At 50.7% G+C, this 27,876-nt stretch overlaps 1 protein-coding gene and 2 long non-coding RNA genes across 3 annotated transcripts, besides 3 other annotated features; 2 read left to right on the forward strand and 1 right to left on the reverse strand.

Annotated features, from left to right (window-relative positions):
• Window positions 1-26,658, forward strand: BPIFB1 (BPI fold containing family B member 1). The gene is made up of 16 exons (NM_033197.3): window positions 1-41; window positions 2,820-2,975; window positions 5,528-5,669; window positions 6,672-6,779; window positions 7,744-7,893; window positions 8,694-8,775; window positions 14,312-14,375; window positions 16,686-16,771; window positions 18,020-18,199; window positions 19,146-19,199; window positions 19,703-19,861; window positions 20,745-20,812; window positions 21,633-21,678; window positions 22,789-22,852; window positions 23,698-23,774; window positions 26,495-26,658. The coding sequence occupies exons 2-16, from the start codon at window positions 2,861-2,863 to the stop codon at window positions 26,552-26,554; spliced, it is 1,455 nt and encodes a 484-aa protein (NP_149974.2). The 5' UTR covers window positions 1-41; window positions 2,820-2,860; the 3' UTR covers window positions 26,555-26,658.
• Window positions 6,407-7,367: an enhancer, noted in NCBI's record as "H3K27ac-H3K4me1 hESC enhancer chr20:31877426-31878386 (GRCh37/hg19 assembly coordinates)". NCBI's record gives its function as "activates a minimal SCP1, AML or CMV promoter by ChIP-STARR-seq in primed H9 embryonic stem cells {active_cell/tissue: H9 hESC(primed)}" and the evidence as "EXISTENCE:reporter gene assay evidence [ECO:0000049][PMID:30033119]".
• Window positions 7,368-8,328: an enhancer, noted in NCBI's record as "H3K27ac-H3K4me1 hESC enhancer chr20:31878387-31879347 (GRCh37/hg19 assembly coordinates)". NCBI's record gives its function as "activates a minimal SCP1, AML or CMV promoter by ChIP-STARR-seq in primed H9 embryonic stem cells {active_cell/tissue: H9 hESC(primed)}" and the evidence as "EXISTENCE:reporter gene assay evidence [ECO:0000049][PMID:30033119]".
• Window positions 8,795-8,844: an enhancer, noted in NCBI's record as "active region_17727". NCBI's record gives its function as "activates an Ori minimal core promoter by ATAC-STARR-seq in GM12878 lymphoblastoid cells {active_cell/tissue: GM12878}" and the evidence as "EXISTENCE:reporter gene assay evidence [ECO:0000049][PMID:35858748]".
• LOC124904888 (uncharacterized) lies at window positions 14,904-15,311 on the reverse strand. Its single transcript, XR_007067566.1, has 2 exons — window positions 15,220-15,311; window positions 14,904-15,009 (listed from the first exon to the last, which is right to left on the reverse strand). It is a non-coding gene; the product is annotated as an uncharacterized LOC124904888 (long non-coding RNA).
• LOC105372594 (uncharacterized) lies at window positions 15,000-16,640 on the forward strand. The gene is made up of 2 exons (XR_936685.3): window positions 15,000-15,631; window positions 15,858-16,640. It is a non-coding gene; the product is annotated as an uncharacterized LOC105372594 (long non-coding RNA).
• Window positions 26,659-27,876: the final 1,218 nt, after the last annotated feature.

Consider the following 27,876-nt stretch of genomic DNA (forward strand, 5'->3'; position numbering starts at 1 on the left):
GGGAGAGGAGAGGAGCGGGCCGAGGACTCCAGCGTGCCCAGGTAAAAGTAGGGAAGGGGCTGAAAGCCAAGGTTGCCAGGAAGGTTCTGAGCTAGAGATACCTGTTGGGGTCAGGTCAGGAGCACAGGGGAGGCTCGCCCTCAGGGAAGGGCCCTCGGTGAGTCAGGATCCGCTGAGGGTCAGGGCCAGGTGTAGAGAGATGCCCAGCTCCCTCGCCCAGAGGACCAAAGGGCAGTGACGAAGGGATGGGGCTGGCTGAGTGTTTTCCTGACCTCTTCCTAGTGACATAAACCCACTCTGCACATACCAGTTGCTCTGTCCCAGCTGTGCTGCGGTGGTGCTGGGACAAAAGAAGCATGAGACGCAGACTCTGTCCCTCAAAGAACTCCCAGTGCAGGACAATGTGGTGCCCAAGGAAGACCCAGGGACATGGGAGTGGAGGACAGTCAAAGAAGGGATCCTGGAAGAGGTGATGTGTTGGTTGCAAAGCCGAGTAGAAGGCGATTGGGCAAAGGAGGAGAGAAAGATATTCCACGAAGGGGAACTAGCAGAAGCAAAGGCTGGGAGAGGAGGTGCCATATGACAGGGGCGTGTGTGGTGCCTGGATCTGGGGGAGGAGAGTCTTTTCCACAGGAGGGAAACAGGGATGCTACCATCCTCGTGGGTCCCTGGGTTTCTCTGATCCAAAGAGGACTGAGCAGTGTGTACAGATAATGCAGGACAGACAGAGTCAAGGTATTTGCAAGGAAAATATGGAGTGGGGCCACAGGGGTGCCTGGATGCCGGGGTTCAGCTCTGTCTTCTGGCTTTGGCTGCAAGGTGTCTCCTTCTGACTCCAATATTAGTAATAATACCTGTCATAATTATCGTGGAAGCTACCATCTACTGAACGCTTGGCCATGCCAGGCCACAAATAGATTGTCTCATTTAATCTTCCCAAAAAGCCTATGACATAAGTACTATAATTATTCCCCATTTTATAGATGAGTAAATGGAGGCTCAGAAAGGGTAAGTCACTTGTCAAAGATCACAGAGCAAGTGGTAGAGGCAGGCCTCCAACTAGGGTTCATCTGGCTGCCAAGCCAATAATATTTTCCCCTCCACCTTCAGGCCTCCTAACACTAACCTTTTCAGCTTAGCAGGCTCAGATTTCCAATTCTTTCGGGGCTTCCAGAGGCTATGCAATTATTCAGCAGCCATTTATTAAGCACCTGGTCTATGCCAACCACTATACTGGATGCCAGGGACACAGCAGGGAGCAGGCAGACCCAGCCCTCCCTCCCAGAGCTCACAGCTTGGTCAGGGAAGCAGAGGCTGAATCATTATTGCAAGGGTCTCAGAAGAGCTCACACTGCTCCAGGGCACAGGAGACACATGTCATCCGGATGCCACATTTGTCTTTGGCAAAAAGAAATCCACATGCTGAACCAAGCGAGGGGCTCAGATCTCTGCAGCGTCTCCCCTCCCTCCAAGCAGGACAGTCCACAGGGGCAGGAGCTTCCATGGGGGGCTGGCAGACAGAGCCAGGGTGCAAGCTGGAGAGCTCAGGACTGGACTACAGATGTTGATGCCACACCCCTGTGGAGGGAGGGGACAGAGCAGCCAAGGGGCCAGAATACCCCCAAGCTCCTCTCCCTGGCATGAGCCACAGGGCCCTTTCTCTCTCTCTCTTTCTCTCTCTCTCTCTCTGCCCTTCTTTTCCTGGCTCCAAGAAGCCATTCAGTCCCTCCCCAGCCCCCTTAGTATTGCAGATTAAGCAAAGAGCTTTTTCACAACTTTGAGTCCTACCTGGCTCCTCATTTCCTTCCTGCCTCCAACCTTCATGTCTTGGGCCCCAGGACAACATTTCTCCAAGTGTGGTCCAGGTTCCCTGTCTGCAGGACAGGGGAAGCTTTATAGGGAAAGTGACAAATCTTGGCAGGGTTTTAAAGGATGAATAGGAGTTCATCAGGGAGATATGGGAGGAGAAAAGCATTCCAGGAAGCAAGGAAGAGCAAGAGCAAAGGCACGGACACAGGAGAGAACACAGTATGTTCTGAGACCTTCCAACTGCTTGGAACTTGCTAGAACAAGGGGAGAGAAAGCAGGAGGTGAGGTCAGCAGACGGTGAACCATAGAGGGTTTTAAGTGTCAGACTGAGGGGTGGGAGACACGGGAAGCAGAAGTTCTTTGTTCTGAGCATTGTTGCTGGATTTTCTGTAAGAAAATAGCTAATACAGGCTGGGCGCGGTGGCTCACGCCTGTAATCCCAGCACTTTGGGAGGCCGAGGTGGGCAGATCACGAGGTCAGGAGATCGAGACCATCCTGGCTAACACGGTGAAACCCCGTCTCTACTAAAAATACAAAAAAAAAAATTAGCCTGGCGCGGTGGTGGGTGTCTGTAGTCCCAACTACTCAGGAGGCTGAGGCAGGAGAATGGTGTGAACTCAGGAGGTGGAGCTTGCAGTGAGCCGAGATGGCACCACTGCACTCCAGCCTGGGTGACAGAGCGAGACTCTGTCTCAAAAAAAAAAAAAAAGAAAGAAAATAGCTAATACATTCCAAGTGCTTACCATGTGAAAGACACCGTGCTAAATGCTTTCCAGATATTAACTCACTTAATCCCTCAACTCTGGGAAGCTGGGGTCATTATCCCCATTTGTCTGATAAGAAAACTGAGGCACAAAGAGGTTACGTTGATTGCCTAAGGCTACACAGCTAGCCCAGGCAGTTAAACACTGCACTCAACAGCCTCTCCTGGACACCGTGCCCCAGGTCACCGGGCATCATGGGCCTGCCCTTGGCCCCTCTGCCTCAGGTCCCTCTGTGCTCACCCCAGGTCTGGCATCCTGCACTTGCTGCCCTCTGACACCTGGGAAGATGGCCGGCCCGTGGACCTTCACCCTTCTCTGTGGTTTGCTGGCAGCCACCTTGATCCAAGCCACCCTCAGTCCCACTGCAGTTCTCATCCTCGGCCCAAAAGTCATCAAAGAAAGTAAGTTTTGTCCCTCCGGAGCTGGCTGCCATAAGACAAGGGGGTAGGTGGAGCAGCTTCCCAAAGGAGGGAGAGAGTTCCTCATCACGGGGGATGTGCATGGCTGAGATCCCAGAACGTGGGTGAACATGAGTGGGAGGTTGTAAAGGTCTGGAGAGTCTGTGATCTCAAGAGTCCACGATTCCAAGAACCCCTTCTTAAATTCCACAGTTCCAAAGACCCTGAGTTTCCACAGCCTGCAGAAGGGGCATGCAGCCACTGCATGCAGTGATGCAGCTGCCTCTCCCACTGCCTTCACCTGAAATCCCATCGTCAGAGCACCCCGTCTTAGTTAGACCCAGTGTGCTCCTCCTCCCCAGAGCAGAGACCCTTGACTGCAAGTGTGGCAGCCTGGGTCCCAGGCACAGTGTATCACTTTCCAGCTCTGGGGCACTGGGCCAGTCCCTGAGCCTCAGCTTCCACCTTGGGACACAAATAAGAGGGCCTTCCTCACTGGGTGGTTGGAATTGACTAGAGCTTTATGAATGCTATGACCATGGTTTCAACCTCAGCACTTCTGATGTTGTGGACCAAACAACTATTTATTATGGGGGGTGTCCTGGGCACTTTAGGATGTTTAACAGCATCCCTAACCCAACTGTGACAACCAAAAAGGTCTCCAGACATTGACAAATATCTCTTAGGGGACAAAATCATCTCAGTGGAGAACGACTACTCTAAAGTCTCATCCCCTTAGAGGGGACTCACCTGTCAGCTCTGGAGGCCACTTGAGCACTTAGAGGACCAGACCTCTGCATTCAGGGGGACTAGGGGCCTGGGTCATGGCCAGAGGGGCAGGGGCAGGTCCTGTGGGACCAACAGGCTCTGTAGCCAGCGGATGGATTCCCAAGTAAGGACGGGAAGCAGAGGGCTCTGAGAGGTTGGAGGGAGGCAGAGGTGGCCTGGATCCACACTGTGAAGCTCAAGCATGTGGAATTTCAGCCAGAAGGAGCTTAGAGATGAACAACCATGCTTTAGGCTCTCCTATAAGGAGTTGTGTACAAGTGGTTGGTTTTGAAGGTGACCCCAGAAACACCTACAGGAGTGTGGGGAGGCAAGGCAGGGAAGGAAAGGCATCCCATGAGGGGTGCATGTCCAAGCCAGTTACCACTGTGGCGACTGAAGCTCAGTCCTGCCTAGCAACTGCATCTATTAGGGCCATTCAGGAGACAGAAACCACACAGTAAATGCCAACAGGTAAGTTTAATGTAAAGAAGTATTACCAGGGGATTGGAAGAATGAGGAATTGGCTAAGAGGGAAAACAGACAGAGCTCTAAAGGATAACCTAGGGATGGAGGGGGTAGCCAAGGACAGAGCAAGTTCAGAGGTAGAGAATCCTCCCCAGCCCTCTTTGTAGAGGGTGTGGTTGAAGCCCACTGTGTGGTGGAGAAGTTTGCTGGCTTGTCCCAGGCCAGAGCTGGTCCACAGTTGGCAATCTGACGCTAGTGGGTGGAGAACTACCTGCCAGGGGGCCAATAAAATTCTCTGGGAAGCTGCCCCTGGAGGAAGGGGGCTGCTGTTAACTCACGGGGAAGCTGTCTCTGGGGAACTGCCTAGAAGCTAGCCAGGGTGCCTGCAGAACTCACTCAGCAAAAGCCACTGGGCAGTGACACCATAGGAACCTGGAAAGAGAAGCACACCAGAGCCATGAAGGGAATCCCCCCCATGCCCCTCCAGAGTCTCCACTGAAAGGGCTTAACACTGTGCCAAATGGCAAAAAAGAAATATTCACTGGGCCCAGTTCCATTACCACAGAGCAGGCAAAGTGGGTGGATTTGCAGCTGAGAGGCTATAACCCAGGAGCTCTGATACACAATGAGGGACACACATCTGAGCCATCCTGCCTGAGGGGTGAGGGAGCTGGGATATTGATACACCAACTCTCACCAATCACTGGCTGAAGTCTGCTCCTGGGGCATCAGCTCTCCAGCACTTCTGACCTGCTCTGCACATGAGCCAGATGGGCTCTAGCTGCTCACAAAAAGCCAGCTGGGACAAGAACCCAGGGCTCTTGACACTTATGCCTCTGTCCTGGCTCCTTCTTCCTCTGCTCAGCACTTGAGGCTTTTTGGACAACACATCCATAGGATATGGATGCCAGACAATTGTTAACAAGTGTGCTTTGGCAGCAAAACAGCCCCAAACAGAGTTTTGAGGGTTCCCTGCCTGTTGGCCCTAGAAATGCTTGCAACTGGCTCAGGGGATGAGTGCAGGTCCAGGTGCTGAGTGCAGTGGCCGACACTCCCCACAGAGGCTGGCAATGCTCAGGGGTGTGAATGGTCCCAGCCTCGCTCCTGATGTGAAAACGACCCATCTGGGCTACTGTCCTCAAGGCTACATCTACACAGTGGGGACTGGCAGGCTGGTCCTGACCTCCACCACAGTAGAGATGGCTACACCCTCGCCTTACCTCAGGGAGCCTCGAGTGATACCCCTCCCCAGCCTGGAGCTCCCACCAAGCCTTCCTTCTTGCCCCTCCTCCTGGGCCCTAATCCCTGGGGTCTGCCTCCAGAGCTGACACAGGAGCTGAAGGACCACAACGCCACCAGCATCCTGCAGCAGCTGCCGCTGCTCAGTGCCATGCGGGAAAAGCCAGCCGGAGGCATCCCTGTGCTGGGCAGCCTGGTGAACACCGTCCTGAAGCACATCATCTGGTGAGTGGAGCAGGACCACACCAGGAGCTAGCCCCTTCCCACACCTTTGCCCGGGACACGCTCTGCATGCTCAGTCAACCAGTCTGCAAGCATCGACTTGTGTCAGATCACAAAGAGTGGATCAAACAAAGCCCCTCCGTCAAGAAGCTCCCAGAATAGTTAACAAGAACCATAAGACAGTGACACAGGAACCCTAATACAACAACCCCAGAGCAAGGCCAGGGACGGTGGCTCAAGCCTGTAATCCCAGCACTTTGGGAGGCCAAGGTGGGTGGATCACCTGAGGTTAGGAGTTCGAGACCAGCCTGGCCAACATGGCAAAACCCCATCTCTACTAAAAATATAAAAATTAGCCAGGCATGGTGGCAGAAGCCTGTAATCCCAGCTACTCAGGAGGCTGAGGCAGGAGAATCGCTTGAACCTGGGAAGTGGAAGTTGCAGTGAGCTGAGATGGTGCCATTGCACTCCAGCCTGGGTGACAAGAGTGAGATTCTGTCTCAAAAAAAAAAAAACAAAAAAAAAAAAACAACCCAGAGCAAGGTTGTCTGGGGTGGCACAGGGAAGGGATGAGGTGATGCTTCTCACTGGAGGTGACAGTGGAGCCGATGACTCAATGCTCACCAGGAGACAAGAAGCAAATGGCATCCAGGTAGAAGAATCAGGCTGGGCAAAGGCATGGAGAAGTGACAGTCGGTCAGAATGGCTAGAGCTCAAACCTCAAGGCAAGGAGTAAGGGATCAGCAGGGTCAGGTCACAGAGGGTCTTATGAGTCAGCTCAAGGAGCTGGGAGTCACCACCTAGAAGAGAAGGCACCATAATAGCATTGTGAGCAGGAGTGGAGGGGAGGGATGGAGGCAAGACCATCTGGAGAGGAGTCGGTGGGCAGGGCCAGGGTCCCGCTGCTGCCTAGGCACCCCAGGGAGATGGAAAAGATAGAGAGGGAGTGGATTTGGGAATAATGAGCCGGAGGCATGATTCTGATCTCTCCTAAACCCCATCCAGGCTGAAGGTCATCACAGCTAACATCCTCCAGCTGCAGGTGAAGCCCTCGGCCAATGACCAGGAGCTGCTAGTCAAGATCCCCCTGGACATGGTGGCTGGATTCAACACGTGAGTGACCCCTCCATCAAGTACAGTAGGCTTGACAGGCTCATCTGCTCGTTCCCCCTCCCCCGCCCCCACCATGCAGGTGTCTGGAAAAGAGAGTTCCGAGCAGAGAGAAGAGCAAGTGCAGAGGCCCTGTGGCAGCAGTGTACTTGCCTTGCTCAAAGAATGGCAAAGACAGGGGAAAGAGAGAGGGGGCATGGTAGGAGATGAGGCCAGCAGGCAGCCGAGGCCAGATCATACAAGGCCTCTTGGGAGAAGATAAGGACTTGGCTTTTGCTGAGTAGGACGGGAGCCAGGGAGGATTCTGAGCAGAGGAGGGATATGCTGTGCTTTCACATTTTTAAAGACTCCTGGCTGCTGTGGGGAAAAAAGACTTTCTGGGGGTAAGAGTGGAGACAGGAAGGCTATCCCAAAGCTACTGCAACAATTCAGGAGGAGATAATGATGGCTTAGACCAGGGTTTGGGGCAGGGAGGTGCTGAGAAGTTGATTGGATTCTGGATATGTTTTGGAGGTAGGTGGGGACACCAGGATATCCCGGGGAACTGAATATGCATGTGTATTCAGGGGGAAAGAGAGAGAAGTCAACGATGACTCCAAGAGTTCTGCCTGCACCACTGGCAGGATGGAGTGGTCAGTAACCAAGACAGGCAAGGCCATGAGAGGAGCAGGTCTGGGGAAGAGCCAGTCCAGTGTTGCATGCGCTAAACTTGAGAAGCCCGTGAGACATCGGAGTAGGGGGCTGGGGGTAAGTTTGGAAGCTGTCAGCAGACGAAAGACGTTTCAACCAAAGAGGAGTCTGAAAACTGAGCCTGGGACATGCTGGGGTGAAGTTGGGTGAAGATGAGGAGAAACCAGCAAAGGAGACTGAGGAAGGAGGTGAGGGCTGGAAGACAGAGACGGACGGCAGGGTTGCTCCAGCCCGAGCTTGCCTGGTGCTCACATGGTCAGGTGCCTCCACCCGCTAGGCCCCTGGTCAAGACCATCGTGGAGTTCCACATGACGACTGAGGCCCAAGCCACCATCCGCATGGACACCAGTGCAAGTGGCCCCACCCGCCTGGTCCTCAGTGACTGTGCCACCAGCCATGGGAGCCTGCGCATCCAACTGCTGCATAAGTGAGTGTCGCTGGCCACCAGCCGGGCTCCCATCCTGCCTGGAAGGAACGCCAGGCAGTGGACTTCCCCCATTTTACAAATGGAGAACGCTGAGGCCTAGAGAAAGAAAGGGACTTATCCCCTCCTGATTCCTGATCTGGGGCTCCTTCCAGGGAATCTGTGATGCCAAGGGAAGTTCAGGACATCAAGGTCAGAAGCAACCATGGTGGGTTTCAGGCATGACACCGGGAGGTGGGGCAAATCTTTGAAGGGGGAGGCCTAGAAACTCCTCCAAACACCAGGGCAGGTGTAGGTGGAGCCAGGGGCAAAAACATAGGCTTTGGGTCAGGCCAACACATTCTCTTCATTTGCTCTCCGGGTGATGATGGCCAAGTGGCCACCCTGTGTCTCACTTTCCTCACCCGTAAAGTGCAGGTAATGACACCTTCCAGGCAGTGGTGAGAAAACTGATCAGACAACAGCCATCAAGCACTCAGAACAGTGCACGCGCATGGTGGTGCCAAAAAACATGGCGCCCCCCCTTCCCTTCTTAGCAGGAGGACAGGGAGAAATGCCAGCTCCCATCATCCCAATGCCCAGCATAAAGTTCCAATGACAACACCCAGCCGCTGCTTTCTGATAACTCTTTGCCACTGCCTACACCTGGCTCAGGGGCTACTCCCAGCCCCGTCTCTAACACGTCCTGTGACCTTGGGCAGGTTCCTTCCTCCCTTAGACTCAGCCTCCCCCTCTGTAAAATAGAGGAAGGGGTGATCATCTCTGACCCTTCCTAATGTCTCTCGTGCTCTCTTCCCTGAAAGGCTCTCCTTCCTGGTGAACGCCTTAGCTAAGCAGGTCATGAACCTCCTAGTGCCATCCCTGCCCAATCTAGTGAAAAACCAGGTGAGTGGAATCAGGGCCTCTCTGGCCTGTGGGCATTGCGCCCCCTGTGGGGCTTGGGTGGAACTGCAAGTTGGTGCTAAGTGACTGGAGTCTCCTTGGGTGGGTTTTGCTGAAAGAATTATCTGGGGCTGGATAGCAAAGAGTCATGGAGTGGGGTGGGCCATTGACCCAGGCAGACAGGCAAGGTCATGGGACTGCTAAAAGTCAGCCAGGAGCCCGTGAACAGTGACGTGCTGATAAATTTTTAGCAATTGTCTCTGGAGGGGTTGTTGAAGGGAGGCAAACCTGATTTGTAGCTTTTGCGGATTTCCCTGGTGGAAATACTCCCTTCAGGGCCAATTTTAGGCGACCAGTGTGATGTCACTGAACAGAGTTGGGAAAAGATATACAATAGCACACGATTGTATATTTCCACTAAACAGATACATAAACATGATCTCAGGAGTAATAGATAGTAGTAAAATACAGCAAACTAATTAGGAAGCAATGCGTTTTAAATTTTTATTAAATTTGTTTTAATATAATTTATTTAATTGTAAGTTTATATGTCTAATTTGTAACAATGTCTGGGCTTAGCACCCAGCTCAGAAATTTGTGGAAATTTAACAATTGGTTCTCAAAAGCTAGTACAAGCTGGCTCTAGCACGGCACTGTCACACATCAATCTGGCTGTGGTATTCAGGGCTGCACCACCCACCAGGTCCTGTTGGATTTTTTTTCTGCGTCAGTAAACACAGGTGACTCTCATTTTAGTTGCCCCTATTTGTCACAGGTATACTAAAACTTTGTAAATTGAATTCATCCACATTAACCAGTGATTTCCACTGTAAATTCCAAGATGTGTTCGTAACAATGGGCCACCCGATCTAGGGTCAAAACACCTTGTCAAATAGCTAATATTTCTTGGAATAAGACTTTTTTCTTTGATTTTTGTTTTTGTTTGTTTGTTTTGAGACAGAGTCTTGCTCTGTCGCCTAGGCGGGAGTGCAGTGGCGCAATCTCAGCTCACTGCAACCTCCGCCTCCCGGGTTCAAGCAATTCTCATGCCTCAGCCTCCCAAGTGGCTGGGATGACAGATGAGCACCACCAGGCATGGCTAGTTTTTATATTTTTAGTAGAGACAAGGTTTTCGCCATGTTGGCCAGGCTGGTCTCAAACCCCTGACCTCAGGTGATCCGCCTGCCTCAGCCTCCCAAAGTGCTGGGATTATAGGCATGAGCCACTGTGCCTGGCGACTTTTTTCTTTGAAAAGATGATGTAATAAATGAAAAAATTTGGGGAAAAAAAATCCATAATCCTTTTACTTTCACCCAGGAGCGCTTTGATCTTTTGCAGATTGCCTTCCCACCTCCATCCACATGCACTAGTATTTTTAAGAGGCTGCTCTTGGTGTCAGCCTTTAAATCAGATCTATGTTTCAAAGTCATTATACAATACTTGTAATTATTAAATAGGTACATTGGGTTTAATAATTTACGAAAACATTCCAGCAAATCCTTTTTTAAATAATGTGATTTTATTAAGAGTACTTTAAAATGACAGTAGCAATATTTAAAACAGTATTTTAGGCCAGGGCCAGTGGCTCACACCTGTAATCTCAGCACTTTGGCAGGTCGAGGCGGGAGGATCACTTGAGCCCAGGATTTGCGACTTGCCTGGAAAACACAGAGAAACCCATCTCTACAGAAAAATAAAAAATTAGAATAGCTGGGCATGATGGTGTGCCCCTATGGTCCCAGCTACTCAGGTGGCTGAGGCAGAAGGATCGCTTGAGTCTAGGATGTTGAGGCTGCAGTGAGTCACAGTTGTGCCACTGCACTCCAGCCTAGGCATGACGGCAAGACTCTGTCTCAAAAACTAAATAAATAAATAACACTGCTTTATATAAACAATGTGATTCTTATTAAGAGTACTTTAAAACAATGGAGATTTTTATTTTTCTCCAAGTTGGCTTCCATGTCCTTACCTTCAAGAAAAATACAGTAAAACATTTAATCTCCATTTTGTGAAATATACATCAACTGTACAATATACTATTACGTTTGTTTCTCTAATAAGCTGGAGTTATGATTTTCAACTTCTGCTTCTGCACTAGTAAAGCTTAAGAGTAGCATGTATAGTCAAAGGAAGATCCATTATTTTAATAGTCGAAATATCTACATATTAAAGAGGCCAGGGAAAAATAAGTGAATAATCAAAAACTAAATAAAGCTCAAATAAGATCTTAAAAGGTTAATTTCAGAAGCAATACTGATTCAGCCCAATTCAAGCTACCTTTCTCCAGTACTTTTTTGGAAGAGAATGGGGAGAGACAGAGAGAGATGAGAAGGGAGGGAACCAATATAATGAATTAATGAATTGTGTGATATAATGAATATAATGAACAATGAATATAATGAATTGTGTGATCTCAAAGTTCAAGACAATGGCTTCTTATAGGTAGAATGTTGAGACTCCGACCTTTTAGCAAAGGTACGTATCCAGGGAGTTTTTTAAAGGGAATCCAAAAGTGAAAAACTTCATAACATTGGAATTTTCTTATGTAAGAAAGAAAATTTTGTTTCTTTGAATAATTTTATTTATCTGTTTCAAGGTGGGAATTTCATAAAGTAGGACCCAGCTGTAGATTTTCTTCCCAGCCTCCAGCAAAATCATATTTTATCTGGCATCACACTTTAATAGTTAAAAATATATTTTCCAGTAGAAAAGATGACAAAAACTTGGAATTATACAATGCTCCTTGCATAGTATCTGTCTTTAATGGTGAAAAGCTAAGTAGAAAGAACAATGTGTGAAAGCCGGCATCCCATTATCATCAGCAAATCCACTACATTCACTGGATTTGATATGATGGTCATAGAAATATTTTATTTGGCATGAAGGGAAAAGGCATAGCACGTTTAAGAGGTGAGCGTCTGGTAGGAGCTCATTTAGAAAATGTTGAGGCCAGGCGCAGTGGCCCACATCTGTAATCCCAGCACTTCGGGAGGCCAAGGCAGGAGGATCCCCTGAGATCAGGAGCTTGAGACCAGGCTGGCCAACATGACGAAACCCCGTCTCTACTAAAAATACAAAAATTAGCTGGGCGCAGTGGCGCACACCTGTAATCCTAACTACTTGGGAGGCTGAGGCAGAAGAATCACTTGAACCCAAGAGGCGGAGGTTGCAGTGAGCTGAGATAACGCCACTGCACTCCAGCCTGGGCGACAGAGAGAAACTCTATCTCAAAAAAAAAAAAATTAAAAATAAATAAATAAATAAAATGGGGATGATGGAATGACTTGCTTTATATAATTGTGAGTATTCCATAAGATGCATGGAAAAAAATCTAGCTAGGCTGGTCGTGGCGGCTCACTCCTATAATCCCAGCACTTTGGGAGGCCAAGGCAGGAGGATCCCCTGAGATCAGGAGCTTGAGACCAGCCTGGCCAACATGGTGAAATCCCATCTCTACTAAAAATACAAAAATTAGCCAGACATGGTGGTGGGCGCCTGTAATCCCAGTTACTCGGGAGGATGAGGCAGGAGAATCAGAGAGGATGAGGCAGGAGAATTGCTTGAACCTGGGAGGTGGAGGTTGCAGTGAGCCGAGATTGCACCACTGCACTCCAGCCTGGGTGACAGAGTGAGACTCGAAAGAAGAAAGAAAGAGAGAAGAAGAAAGAAAGAAAGAGAGAAAGAAAGAAAGAAAGAGAGAAAAAAAGGGAGAAAAGGAAGCAAGGAAGGAAAAAGAGAGAGAGGGAAGGAAGGAAGGAGAGAGAGAGAGAAAGAGAGAGAGAAGAAAGGAAGGAAAGAAGGAAGGAAGGAAGGGGAAGGGAAGGAAGGAAAGAAGGAAGGAAGGAAGGGGAAGGGGAAGGGAAGGAAGGAAAGAAGGAAGGAAGGGGATTGGGAAGGGAAGGAAGGAAAGAAGGAAGGAAGGAAGGGGAAGGGAAAGGGAAGGAAGGAAGGACGGAAAAAGAGAGAGAGGGAGGGAGGGAAGAAAGGAAGGAAGGGAGGGAGGGAGGGAGGGAGGGAAAATGTTGAAATCTTTTTCAGTGTAAATCCATGGGTCTCAACCCTCGTTGCACATCAGAGCCATCAGAACCTGAGAAACCTTTAAAAAATACTAATGGCTAGGCCCTACCCCAGATTCAGAAGTAACTGGTCTGGGTGGGTCCTAGTATCCCAGAGGACTCTACTGTGTAGCCAGGATTGAGACCTGCTGATAGAAATGAAGGATGGGGAATTGTGGGATAAAATGCAGAGGTTCCCCGGGACACTTTCCGGTGAGAAACAGGCTCCCCTGGCAGTGCCTGCTGGGAGTCTCTGAGCTGAAAGTCTTCCATCCTCTCTGGGCTCTAGATTGGCAATGCAGCCAGGAGCAGGGAACGGTTATTCATAGGAGTTAACATTTCTCAAAGGCATTGTCATTCCTCAAGAGTATTAAGGGGTGGTCAACAAGACAAAAATGTCCTCAATAATCTTGGAGCACTGCCCTGAAAAGTGAGTCAAATGTTTGACCTTCTCCCTAAGCAGAACAGCTCAGGTCAGGGTTAGGTTAGGTCAGAGTTTCTCAGCCTTGGTGGTACTGACATTTTGGGCTGGATAATTCTTTGTCTGGATGCTGTCCTATGCACAGTAGGATGTTTAGCTGCATCCCTGGCCTCTACCCACTAGTTGTCATCCCCTCCAAGTTGTGACAACTAAAAATGTCTCTAGAAATTTCCAAATGTCTCCTTGGGGACAAAATCTCCCCCTGTTGAGGACTGCTGGCAATTTTAGGAAGAGAAGTGCCCAGTGAGCAAAGGGATGTGTTGGGCTAGAAAGCCACAAAGGGCACAAAGAGATTGCCCAGGAGTCTGGTTGGGTCTGCCTTGCTGGCCTCTGTTCCAGAGTCTGACATGTGAAAAGAACTCAGTAGCAACTTGCTGTATGAATAAACAAATTCTCCATTTAACTCTTGTTTTTTCTTTTAAAGTAGAGTCTTGCTCTGTCACCCAGGCTGGAGTGCAGTAGCACGATTCCAGCTCACTGCAACCTCCACCTCCCAGGTTCAAGCAATCCTTGTGCTTCAGCCAACCAAGTAGCTTGGATTACAGGAGTGCACCACCATGCCTGGCTTTTTGTATCTTTAGTAGAGATGAGGTTTCACCATGCTGGCCAGGCTGGTCTCAAACTCCTGGCCTCAAGCGATCCACCCACCTTGGCTTCCCAAAGTGCTGGGATTACAGGCATGAGCCATTGCGCCCAGCCTCCATTTCACTCTCATGGAAAACATAGACACCTGTGAGCAAGACAAGGAGTCAGAGAGGGAGGGCTGCTGGCAGGCCAAGCACACCCTGGGCACAGGGAAAGGGACAAACCACTGCAAAAGGTCCCAGGTGGCCCTGCAGGCTGGGTTCAACACACGAATGAATCCTCAACCCATGGATGGAACCTGGCTGGCCATGGGCACAGCAGTAGGACACAGGCCAGGTGGGCTGGGCACAGCCCGGGGCTGCTGTGGGGCTGCATTCTGGCCCCTCCCTGATGGAGCCCCTTGCTTATGCTGTTGCAGCTGTGTCCCGTGATCGAGGCTTCCTTCAATGGCATGTATGCAGACCTCCTGCAGCTGGTGAAGGGTAGGTGCTCTGCTCTCTCTCCCACTTTTTCCTTTACTACGGAGCTGGCCTCCAGACCCTGACTCCACCAAGGGAAGGCCTCCCCAAGTCAGGCCTGAGCTGCAACTCAGGCCCAGAAGCAGGTGAGACAAGCATCAGTTGATCCCTGCCCCAGACGCGCAGACAGAAATTCGCCACGACTAGGACTTCATGAGCTCTTACTATTTGTGCAGTTGTCAGGTCAGTGGATGCCCCAAGTTCAAATCCCAGCTCTGCCCCTGACTTGCTCCATGACTTTGGGAAAGCTAATTTACCTCCTCATCCTCGGTTTCCTCATCCATAAAATGGGGCTTAACCATCCCTACAACATAGGATTGTTAGTGAGGAATAAAAGTCTACAGGAAAGTTCTGGGCACATAGCAGGTGTCCCTCTTGGCACAGAGAAGCACTTACAAATGCATGCTAAATGGATGGATGGATAGATGGATGGATGGATGGATGGACAGACAGAAGATGCTAAGATTACAAGCATGAGCCATCACACGCAGCCCCCGGACTAGTTTTTATGGATACTTTAGAAAACTGCAGCATCAAATAGTTCTATCCATCTCGTTGCAGTTTCAAATTTTCCCTCCATCCAAAGGGTTTGAGGTATCTGAGAAATTAAAGCATGGGTTAAAAACTGAGATATCTGGTTTAAAAAATAAAAATCAGAGATGATTCGAAGGGCAAAGACGGAAGGAAGTCATTTCTCCCTCCCCCAGCATAGCAGATACGGGAGGGCACAGGCTCCTGCCCCCACATCAGAACTCTGCCATGCTCAGGCCCCCAGAGTGGAAACTGGCGGAGAAGAAGAAAAGTCTACCAACTGCACTTTGGGATCAGAAGAGGCTCATTCCAAGGGCGACCAGAGAGGAGAAGGGAGAGCAGCATGCACTGAGCGCCACAGGGCATCTGCCATGGGCCACGCCCTCCCGCTGGGTGTTTTGTATAGGCACATCTCACTGACTCCTCAGACAACTCCATGAGGTGGCAGTCATGACCCCCCTTCACTGTGATGAAAGAGGCTCCGAGCAATGAAGTCACTGTCCAAGTTCACAGAGGCAGTTGGTGATAGAGGAAGACTTGAGTTCTGAGCGAGTGTCATTCGGATTGAGCCGTTACTAGGTGCCAGTTGTATACATGAAGCAGGAATTACTATTCTACCGCCGTTTCTTTCCTTTTTTCTTTTTTTTTTTTTTAATTCCCAAAGAGTTCTTCCAATCGTCAGATATTTGGTCAGTATTCAGAGTAGGATCCAGAGTTCACACATTACATTTTGTTGACAAGTCTGTAGATTTCTCTTTGTAAATCACATTTTTTTGTTGTTGTTATAGCCATTTTCGGGGACCTTATTGACTTTAATATACTTTTTTTTTTTTTTTGGAGACGGACCTTTTTTCTTTTTTTAAAGTAATTTTTACAGGAGTCATGCTCATCGTCTCTATGTCCTTCCGATTTTAGTACATGTGCTGCCCTGGCGGGCACTATACCCTCATTTTAAGACGAGGAAACAGATTCAGACGCGAGAAGAGACCAGCCAAGGTCACTGGGGCTCAAACCGAAGTCCAGCTGGCTCCTCCGCTGCCCCGAGGACGGGCCCGGAGGTCTCCCTGGAGCGGTAGGCGGCCGGTCCCTGGCCCTCCAGCACTCCCCATCCTCGGCCATACACCGGGGCAGGTGACACACCACCGCCACCTGGCGGCCAAGTGGGGAATTCTGACGCGAACACGAGATCTTTGGGGGGAGCAGAGGAGCCAGTTTGGATTTCAGAGTAGATGTTACCAGGCCTCTGGCTTCCAGCCTAAGCTTCCTTGAGATCCAGGTGCTCATAGGGTGTCCAGACCCAGAACCACCTGCATGGGGGACGCGGCTTTCAGTCTGGTAGGGGCGGTGGAGTGTTACATACAATAGTTCAGTTCCGTTCCAAACCGGGACTTTGGCATAAAACCGACTGGGTTCCCATGCTCTCATAGTATGGCTTTGAACAGGTCATTTCCCTTTCCTCAGACTTGGTTTCACCATCTGTAAAAGGGGGTAATAATAAGACCTACTTCCTAACGTTATCATGCAGATGAACCAGCTGACATGCAGAGGCCTGGCACTTAGTGGATGCTCGATAAATGTCACTGTCATCACTGTTTGCATCATTATTATCAACATCATTATTACCTGCTCCTCCCTACCTGCCCCCCCATGCAACAGTACAGCTCCACCTGGAAGCAGCCCCCCAACTTCCCCCTCCAATACTGCCCTCCACCCTCACAGAACTTTCTTCTTGTCCTTGAGCAGTGCCCATTTCCCTCAGCATTGACCGTCTGGAGTTTGACCTTCTGTATCCTGCCATCAAGGGTGACACCATTCAGCTCTACCTGGGGGTGAGTGTCCCAGGACCTTGAGGGTGAAGTGGGGACATTGCTGCCCTTCTCTGACCACCAGGAGTCAGATAGCATGGGCCTGTGTTAGGAGAGAAAATCCTGGTCACCATTAGGACACGGGCTGATCTAGAAAAATCACTGCAGGCTGAATATGTCCCATGCAAGTTTGTTTTGTTTTGTTTTTTTGAGACTGAGTCTCACTGTCACCCAGAGTGACATGGGGGGGCCCGAGTGGGGACACTGGGCCCTCAGCCTTTCTCTCAGGCAAGTCCCTGCCAATCCCCAAACCTATGACAACCTTGAAACAAAAGCCAAGGATCAAGAAACACAGACCTAAGTTTCTCTCCTAGCTCTATGATTCCCTGGCTATGTGACTTTGGGCAAGTTCCTTTACCTCCCTGAGCCTCAGTTTCCTTGTCTGCAAAATGTCAGTAATAATGGCCACTGAGGAGAGGATGAAATGAGACCACACCATGCCTGGCAGACCAGAAGTGCCCAGTAACTGTCAGCTCCCTGTCCAATGTGGAGCTGCACAGCCATGCTGTGGCTGGACGCCCCAAAGGGCCAGACCATCCTGGTAGCATGAATCCCAGACTAGGTTTCTTTTGTTTTGTTTTTTTGAGACTGAGTCTCACTCTGTCACCCAGGCTGGAGTGCAGTGGTGCCATCACAGCTCACTGCAGCCTTGACCTCCTGGGCTCAAGCGATCCTCTCACCTCAACCTCCTGAGTAGCTGGGACTGCAGGCACTCGCCACCACGCCTGGCTAATTTTCTGTATTTTTTGTAAAGATGGGGTTCCGCCATGTTGCCCAGGCTGGTCTCAAACTCCTGGGCTCAAATGATCCTCCCACTTCGGCCTCCCAAAGTGCTAAGATTACAAGCATGAGCCAACACGCCTGGCCCCTGGACTAGTTTCTATGGATCCTTTGGAAAACTGCAGCATCAAATCGTTTCTTCCATTTTGTTGTAGTTTTTAATTTTCCCTCCATCCAAAGGGTTTGAGGTGTCTGAGAAGTTGAAGCATGGGAAAAAAAACGAAGATATCTGGTACAAAAAATAAAAGTCAGAGATTATCCGAGGGGCAAAGATGGAGTAGATGTTGCCACACACCTGAGCTCCAGGCTAAGCTTCCTGGCAACAAATGCACAAAAAGGAAACAGGCTGAATGGTGTCATTTCCTTCTAGGTTGCTATTGGGTAAGCTGCAGAGTTAAAATTCTTAGCTGACTCCCTGCTCTGTCTCCTCAGGCCAAGTTGTTGGACTCACAGGGAAAGGTGACCAAGTGGTTCAATAACTCTGCAGCTTCCCTGACAATGCCCACCCTGGACAACATCCCGTTCAGCCTCATCGTGAGTCAGGACGTGGTGAAAGCTGCAGTGGCTGCTGTGCTCTCTCCAGAAGAATTCATGGTCCTGTTGGACTCTGTGGTAAACCTCAGCACAAGGCAGAGAATAGGGCCGCCCAGGCCACATCATAGGAATTTCCTGAACACAGGGTGCCCCTAAGCAGGAATCCTCCATCAGGCTCAGTTTAATGGAGATCTCACTCCCTCCTCTAATAGACCCTGCCTCTGACATAGCTCTAAACCTAAAATCCTCCCGGTAACATCCAGCCCCAGTCATGGTTCTACCCTCTGGAATCTGATGCAAATGTTTCCTCTACCAAATAACAGTCTCGTGAAATCAAAAGGCATCTTAGATATGCAGTAGTCCAGGGGTGATAAATACATCTCAGATAGTGAGTAGTCCAGGGATGGCGACTGTGCCACTGCTCACCACTATGACACTCATGGCAGACATCACTAATCGATCAAGGCTCTCCTTTCTACTGAGTCTGGATGCTGACACAACCTTGGAATCCTTATTAACAGGGCACAGCCGATAACCACCACCAGTCAACTATGTTGTGCCACCTCCTCCCGGGTGACTGACGGGGAAATTGAGGTCCAGAGGGGGAAAGGGTTGGTCCAACGTTATGGGAGGATGGCAGAACTTCAGGGCAGCTGACAGACAACCAATAACCAAGCTCTCAGGGGACTGGGATGGCGAGAAAATAGGGAGTGGTCACCAACTAGCCCATTCATGATTGCAGTAAAAATGAAATCACCTCTCTATGTCCTCTGAGATCAGGAAGCTGCCCCCAGACCCACAACCATCACCAGCCCACAGTAAAAGTCCAGGCCAGCAGGACCCCATGCCCCATAGAAGCTGACCTAGGGGCTGTTTTTCCACCAATGACAGACACATGGCTTGGGTCACTGGGCCCACCCAGCTTTTCTGGGGTCCTGGGAAACCTTCCTCCCAGCAGTGGGGTGCAGGAGATGTGCCTCCCTGTGCCCTCCAACTGACCTTCTCTGGCTCCTCTCACCCTCAGCTTCCTGAGAGTGCCCATCGGCTGAAGTCAAGCATCGGGCTGATCAATGAAAAGGTTGGTCTGTTTGCCATCTGCAGCTTGAGGGGTGTTTGCTGTGGTCTGGACACAGGCCTCTGGGGAGGAGAATCTAGTGGGACTAGTGTTTCATTCCAGCACTGGGACACTCAAACCGCATCCCTGTCCGCACAGAGATTTCAGTCTAGCAGGCCAGTTTGACCTGAAGCAAATCATCACATGGATAGTATTTCCATTACAGCTGCAGTAACACAGGACAGGTTCTAGGGGCCATGAGAACACTCTGGGCCCCTGATACAGTCTGGGACGTCAGGGAGGCCTCCCTGAAGGGAAGGGCATTCCAGACAGAGGGAACAGGAGACCAAAGGCTGCCAGGTAGGGAGAACAACACAACATTCAAGGATCTGCAAGAAGGACAGGGTGGCTGGAACACGTGAGGGAGCAGGGAGCCCAGGAAGGCAGGCAGGGGCCAGGCCACACACAGAGCCTGTGGGCCATGGTGGGCACTTGGGAGGCCACATGTGGGTCTGATCTCCTTCCAGGCTGCAGATAAGCTGGGATCTACCCAGATCGTGAAGATCCTAACTCAGGACACTCCCGAGTTTTTTATAGACCAAGGCCATGCCAAGGTGGCCCAACTGATCGTGCTGGAAGTGTTTCCCTCCAGTGAAGCCCTCCGCCCTTTGTTCACCCTGGGCATCGTGAGTTCAGTTGTCTGCGATATTGGCAGCAACCAGGGGGACCCTTCTGTCTACTTTTCCTGTTCGCCCTCTTGCTTTGTTAAACATTTCCACCACTCTCATCACTTAGCAGGGACAGGGGACAGGGAGCTCTGAACCAAGAGCCAGGAGCTTTGTGGGTCCAATTCTAACCCTGTGACTTTCTTAGTCAGGAATCTCTGGACAGAAACTCAACTCATATGCACAAAAGGAATTGTATTAGCTCCTATAACTAAAAAGTCTAGATGCTATTGACTTCGGGAATAGCTGGACCCAGGTGCTCAAACAATATCCTCTTCATTCTCCTCTCTCCCACCTAGCAGCCTTGTTTTCCTCTGTGCTGCCTTCATCCTCAGGCAAGCTATTCCCTCATGGTAGTGCCCCAGGCTGCATTAGGCTCATATCCTATCAGCTTGGCAATCACCGCAGGAAGAACCTATCTTTCCAATAGTTCCAGCAAACATCTCAGGGCTGACTCTCACTGAATGAGCCTGAGTCAGTTGCCCATTCTTGAGCCAATCAGTGTGTCCAGAAAAATGGAATATGAAAACTTCCTGAGCTGGGCCACCTACACACTAGGGTAAGGGAGTGAGGGCTCTATGAATAGTGGCTGCTTTCGTCGTCGTCATCGTCATCATTATCATTCCCCACAGCAAGCCTAGACTGTCATCTGTTAAATGGGGAGTGGAGGCAAGTACTATCTCATTTAACAGATGAGGCAGGTGAGGCCCAGAGAGGTCAAACCCTTTGCCAAGGTCCCAGAGCCAGGAACTGAGATTCAGACCCCAGAGCCTCCCTGCATAACCCCTAATTCCACACTCGGATCCTCTTGAGAACAATGGGGCCTGGGCTTCTCTTGTTGCAGGAAGCCAGCTCGGAAGCTCAGTTTTACACCAAAGGTGACCAACTTATACTCAACTTGAATAACATCAGGTAAACACACAAATCATCATGAAGATTCTGCTGATGGAAATGAGTCCCGCCTGGTAACCATGGGTTTCTTTAAACACCGACTTTGTGGCTGTCAGGTGAAGGCGGCTCCAGGGTAGGCAGGGAGGTCCTTCCGGATGCTCCTGCTGACAAGGACTGCATGTGAGGGAATGGGGAGGAAAATGAAGTAGGCCTTGCAGCAGCCACGGCACAGGCAAACCCTAGCCGCGGCCAGCCCACTCTGGACACCTCCCAGGCCGTGGCAGTGACAGTCACCCGGCACAGAAGTGCAGGGCTCCAGCTGCCTCCTGCACCCTGCCTGTTCTCCCTCCCCGCCACTTTCCTGTGGCCCCAGAGTGAGTGCAGGGGCTGCCAGCTGGAGCCTCTGGGGACAAGTCAGGCCCAGGGCTCTTTTGATCAGCCCACATAGGGCTGGGCTGTTTAATATAAATGAGTTGTGCACATATCAAATCAGACTATCTGGCTGCCCTGTGCCCACAATCCTACATAGCAACAAACTGTCGAGCCAGGAATTGGGGCGCCCTTTGAAGGAGCTTGGGCCTCCTTGTCCACCACAGCCCTGACTCCTGAGGTTGATTTTTCTGCTCACTGGACTGCTATTTGTTTTCTGTGCCCCCTCTATGCCCCCCACCCCACCCCTGCCATTAGAATGCAAGCTCCACGACGCAAGGGCTTCATGTGGTTCACTGGAGCCCGCACTGTGCCTGGCACATAATAGGTGCTCAATAAATCGCTGTTGAATGAGTGGATGGTGAATGAGTGGGACTTCAGGGGCCGCTCTCACAGGCATCTTCCATTGCAGCTCTGATCGGATCCAGCTGATGAACTCTGGGATTGGCTGGTTCCAAGTAAGTGTTAACAGGTGGTGCCTGAGGGCACAGGGGGTGGCCTGGAATGGTCCACTCTCAAAACAGATATTGCCCAGGATTTGCTTCAAACAAGGTCCCCACAGAAGCACCATGGGGGGCTGGCCGGTCTCCACCAAAGTCCAACTTCCCTCGAGTGTTTACAGAGAAGCCACCACGTGTCAGACACAGCTGAGAACACACACACGCACACACAAATACACTCACAGATACACACTTTCTTTCAGTGAAGTTTTGATCCTGAATTAGAACACAAGTGCCCTTGACTCACAATCTCATTCTGCACACGTAGACGCGCCTCAGTGCCCCTAGACAGCCCTTTCCTGCTGGGATTCAGACCGAACCCCAATACCTCAGTCTGGCGTGTTTTCTCTGGTTTTTATGATTTGTTTTTCACTATTTTTGACTTTTTTTTTTTTTTTTTTTGAGATGGAGTCTCGCTCTGTCGCCCAGGCTGGAGAGCAGTGGTGTGATCTTGGCTCACTGCAACCTCCATCTCCCGGGTTCAAGCAATTCTCCTGCCTCAGCCTCCTGAGTAGCTGGGACTACAGGCGCCCACCACCACGCCCGGCTAATTTTTTGTACTTTTAGTAGAGACAGGGTTTCACCATGTTAGCCAAGATGGTCTCGATCTCCTGACCTCATGATCTGCCCGCCTTGGCCTCCCAAAGTGCTGGGATTACAGGCATGAGCCACCATGCCCGGTGACTAATATTTTAAAACACGGAGAGTTCCACATGCAAATCAGGACTTCTGGCTTCCCTCCAGAAGTCAGAAGTTCAGGCAATGCAGGGCAAAATTCCCTCAGGGCAAATTCAGCTGCAACAGAGTGGTGGGGCCCCTGAGGATGGGGCATCCTCCAATGCACCCCAATCCCCCCATCTACCAGGCCCCAGGGGCGGCTGAGTTCATGCCCCAACCCAGCCCATCTGGTCCCTGGGAGCCCCCACAGCTCTGATCAGCAGGGGACCTGGAATTCCTACATCTCCACCAGCCACCTCACCCATGGGGAGGAGCCACACCCACGAAGAATGATGGGGGGGAACTTCAGATGCTCAACCAGGGTGACAGTGCCCCTTCTCTCTCTCACAGCCTGATGTTCTGAAAAACATCATCACTGAGATCATCCACTCCATCCTGCTGCCGAACCAGAATGGTGCATACCTCTGCCATCTGTGCCCCCTCTCTCCCCAGGGCTTGGCTTTACTTCCCCTGCCCTCATCTCCATGAATGGGGCCCCTTTCATTCATCTCCCAGCCATCCCTCAGAGCCTACTTCAAAATCTGCCTCCTCCCAAGAACCTTCTCAGCCCAATTCCTTTGCTAGTGCCAGAGGCTGGGCTCGTAAAGATGAACCAAGCAGTGGGCCAGACTTGCAGGGCTGGAAGGAGACAGAGGCATAAGCAGACAATGAGAGCAATGACAGAGGTGTAAGAGACAACTGGAGGCGCCTCAGCAGACCCTGTTCCCCCTCTTGCTAGTGCCTGGCCTTGGTCAAGCTGCACAATCCTTCTGAGCCTCAGTTTCTCCATCTGTAAAATGGGGACGTAGAAGTACCTTCTTCAGAGGCACAAATCAGGAGGTGCCTGGCACAGTCAGTGCCCAACACTCTAATTCAGCCCCAGGTTGAATGAGGGGTGGGAAGGGTTTGTAACCTATACAGTTCCACCTTTTTAATTTCTTTATTTTATTAGACTGGAAAAATCTCAAAGTATAGAAACCTCTGCTGGGGATAATGGGAGCCCCTGATGGTTCTTGAGCAAGAGCGTAAGAGAATGTGAGGACTGCATTTTGTGAGGGGCCAGAAGCCAGTGCCAGAGGCAAAGGGAGGGTAGACGAGGCTGGGTCAATGCTGGGGCCAGAGAACAGGCGAGCAGAGGCAGAGGGGGCTGTCTGATCAGGCCTGCCAGGCCGGGGCTCCCCTTCAGGAACCCTGAGCCTGCCCCTGGCTGCCCAGTCTCACCCCAGGCCCATCAGTTTCTGACCACATTTGTTATTTCAGGCAAATTAAGATCTGGGGTCCCAGTGTCATTGGTGAAGGCCTTGGGATTCGAGGCAGCTGAGTCCTCACTGACCAAGGTGAGTGGGTGTGGCCCTAAACATCCTGCCCCAGGGAGGGCACAGCCACTGAGAGCCCTGGCTGGGAGGTGGGGCCTGCACTCCAACCCCAGCCTACAGGTGACCCTGGGCAAGTCCCTTCCCCTCTCAGGGCCTCACCTCCTCATCTGCAAGTGAGAAGGTTGGCTGTGCTGAGGATGGAACCCTCCTAGCCTGGGGTCAGTACACTTTTTCCACCCCCTTGTCATTCATTCATTCATTCATTCATTCAGTAATTCACTAAATATTTTTCGAGGGTCTTCTATAGGCAAGCCATGCTTCTGAGTGCTTGAGGCCACCGAAATGAACAAATGGAAAACACTCCCATCTTTTTCAAGCCTACCTTTTAGCAGAAGAGGCAGATACACAAGCCCTAAAGATGTAACATCAGGCTGAGTGGAGGAAGGCTGAGAAGAAAAATAAAGCAGGCTCAGGAGGAGAGAGTGATGTCAGGGAAGGGGGTGCTGTTTCAGATGGGGTGGCCAGGGAGGGCCTCTCTGAGGAGGTAACATTTGAGCCAATGCCTGAGGAGGTGAGGGGTGAGCCCTGTGGGTAGCTGGGAGAAGTGTCCCGTCAGAGGGACAGCGTATTAGGCCGTTCTCACACTGCTATAAAGAAATACCTGAGGCTGGGCTCAGTGGCTTGTGCCTATAATCCCAGCACTTTGGGAGGCCAAGGTGGGCAGATCACCTGAGGTCAAGAGTTCGAGACCAGCCTGGCCGACATGGCAAAACCCAGTCTCTACTAAAAATACAAAAATTAGCTGGGCGTGATGGCGGGTACCTGTAATCCCAGCTACTCGGAAGGCTGAGGCAGAAGAATTGCTTGAACCCAGGAGGCGGAGGTTGCAGTGACCTGAGATCACGCCATTGCACTCCAGCCTGGGCAACAAGAGTGAAATCCATCCCCCCCCCAAAAAAAAAAGGAAAGAAAATAAATACCTGAGACTGGGTAATTCATGAAGAAAAGAGGTTTAATTGGCTTGTGGTTCTGCAGGCTGTACAGGAAACACGATGCTGGCATCTGCTCAGCTTCTGGGGAGGCTTCAGGAAACTTCCAATCATAGCGGAAGGCAAAGGGGAAGACTGCACATCACATGGCCCAAGCAGGAGCAAGGGGTGGGAGGTGCTACACACTTTTAAACAACCAGATCTCACAAGAGCACACTCACCATCACGAGAACAGCACCAAGAGGATGGCGCTAAACCATTCACAAGAAACCAGCCCCATGATCCAATCAGCTTAGACCCCACCTCCAACATTGGGTTCTACATGAGATTTGGGCGGGGACACAGATCTAAACCATATCAGATGTCAAGTGCAAAGGCCCTGAGGCAGGGATTGTTGGTGTTCCAGGAAAGATGAGGAAGGAGGCCCAGGATCTGAGGCAACATCCAAGGCAGGTAACCTCATAGGCCTGAGATGCATGCATGCACACACACATATACACACACACACGCACACCTTTATACACCTATACACATACATACACACGCACATACAAACACATACACCTTTATACACATACATACACACACACACCTTTATACACCTATACACATACATACACACGCACATACAAACACATACACCTTTATACACATACATACACACACACACCTTTATACACCTATACACATACATACACACGCACATACAAACACATACACCTTTATACACATACATACACACACACACCTTTATACACCTATACATATACATACACACACACATACATATTGCACACATACACACCACACACATACACACTACACACACACACATAATACACACACCACACACATACACACTACACACACACATACACACACACATAATACACACACCACACACATACACACTACACACACACCACACACATACACACATACATACACACACATACACAGAGACGCACACATACACATATACACACATACACACACTACACATGCACATACACATACACACACACACACACACCATGTGGCCAGATGGTCTCAGCTCAAGGCCAGGATCATGTCCATCTTGTCCATGCCTCTGTCCCCGGTGCTCAGCATGGCCTGGCACACAGTAGGTGTTCAATAAATGCTTGGTGAGCAAATGACTCTCCGTGGCATCTGCTGGGGAGAGGATCTATGGCAGTGTCACCCTCGCTCCCAAATACTACCCTTAAGAAGAACAGCTCACAGTCACTGTGTGCCAGGCTCTGGGGCATCTCTCCCCCTCTAGAGTGGAGCCAAAACTTCAAGAAGGCAGGGGTTTCTGTCTGCTTTGTTCTCTGTTGTGATCAGTGGCTGCACACAGTAGGTGTTTAGTAAATGCCTGCTAACTGAGATGGACACCTTACTGTCATTAGCTCATGCAGAGGAGGGGCCCAAAGCAGGGGGTGATCAAGGCGGGTGCTAAGTGCAAATCCCACTTCTGCCACCTACTGAGTGCGTGACTTTGGAAAGGGGCTTTTGCCATCTTCAAGTCTCAGTGTCCCCATCTGCAAAATGGAGATGACATCAGGACCTGGTGTGGCATTAATGTTCACACACAGACCCTCCACCCCGACCCTTCTAAGAATTCTGTATTTGTGGGTTCAGGGTCATGGTCCCCCGGTGCCAGCAGTCACCTTATGGAGGACAAAACCAGCATAAACCACAAGGCAAAAGGTTAAAGAAACCTGTTTTCTGACTTTTCCCCTCCAATTCCAGGATGCCCTTGTGCTTACTCCAGCCTCCTTGTGGAAACCCAGCTCTCCTGTCTCCCAGTGAAGACTTGGATGGCAGCCATCAGGGAAGGCTGGGTCCCAGCTGGGAGTATGGGTGTGAGCTCTATAGACCATCCCTCTCTGCAATCAATAAACACTTGCCTGTGATGCCTGCCGTCTGGAGTCTCTTTGTCCCGGCACAGGAGTCATTTTGCCCCTGGCAGGCTTGGGGACTGGATGGCTGAGCCACACCTGGGTCATGTTCAGGCACATCTGAGCCAATCTGGGTGATGTCTGGGCCACATGTGGATGATGTCCACAGTCTTGACCACCTCCCTGTGCTTCAGGAATCAGAAAGCCAGCTCTTCCCACCTGCCTTCATGTCAGCCTCAAGACCATCTTCAGTGGGATGGCTTTTAGGGTGGGGGACATATGTTTTGTTTATCTTGGCAGTGTGGTGGACAGAGGACTCTCTGAACAATGTGGATCTGGGGGCAGATGAACTAGGCTTGGAGCTCTGGCTGGCCTCTTAATGCTTCTTTGACTCTGGGATGTAGTTTCCCCTCTGTGGGCCTCAGTTTCCTTCTCCGTAAAATGGGGATAGTCATTGTCTCTGCCTTGGAGGGCTTTGGTGAGGAGTAAATGAGAGAACAGTTCCAGATACATGGTAGATACTCAGACAATGTCGTCTGTGGGTGGTCATTACTGCTGTTGCCTGGCCTCTGGAGTGTTCAGCCTTATCACCAAAGTGCCATCCTGCTCAGACAGTGCATGACTGCCTTGTCTTTCTGGCCTCCCTGATGTCAGGGCGCTTGGGACAGACAATAGGGTCCCTGTTCTCCAGACCTCAGGCCTGCCCAGTACCTTCAGTTACACGAGGGCCTTGCAGGAAGGGATAGGGTAGGCATCCCAGGAAAATGCGTTGCTCATCATGAGAGCACAAACAGGCATAAGATATACAGCTCACAGCCCAGAAGGGCAGCCAGGGACATTGGCCAGGCCAAGAGGCACACAGAGGCACCAGGCCACAGCCTTGCACAAGGTGCTTACACCATTGTCAGTGACCACTTACCCAACAGCTACTGAGTGCCAGGGCTGTGTGGAAGTTCCCCACGCATCCCAGCTCCCAGCCAAACAGCTGCCCAGTGCCAGGGCTATGTGGAAGCTCCCCACGCATCCCAGATCCCAGCCACACTTTGGGTAGGATTTTGTTCCCCACACATCACATTCCATTATTTTTCTAAATCATATTCAATCTGCATTTGAACTCCCATTCACAAAGGAGGTGACAAAGTCCATCTCCATCTTGCCTAGGGTTGGACTCTTCTGGCTCCCTAGGGTCATACAAGGATCTTTTGGGGGCTTCCAGGGAGCCTGGAGGATGGA

Source organism: Homo sapiens, chromosome 20 (assembly GCF_000001405.40).
Source record: "Homo sapiens chromosome 20, GRCh38.p14 Primary Assembly".
Lineage (NCBI taxonomy): Eukaryota > Metazoa > Chordata > Mammalia > Primates > Hominidae > Homo > Homo sapiens.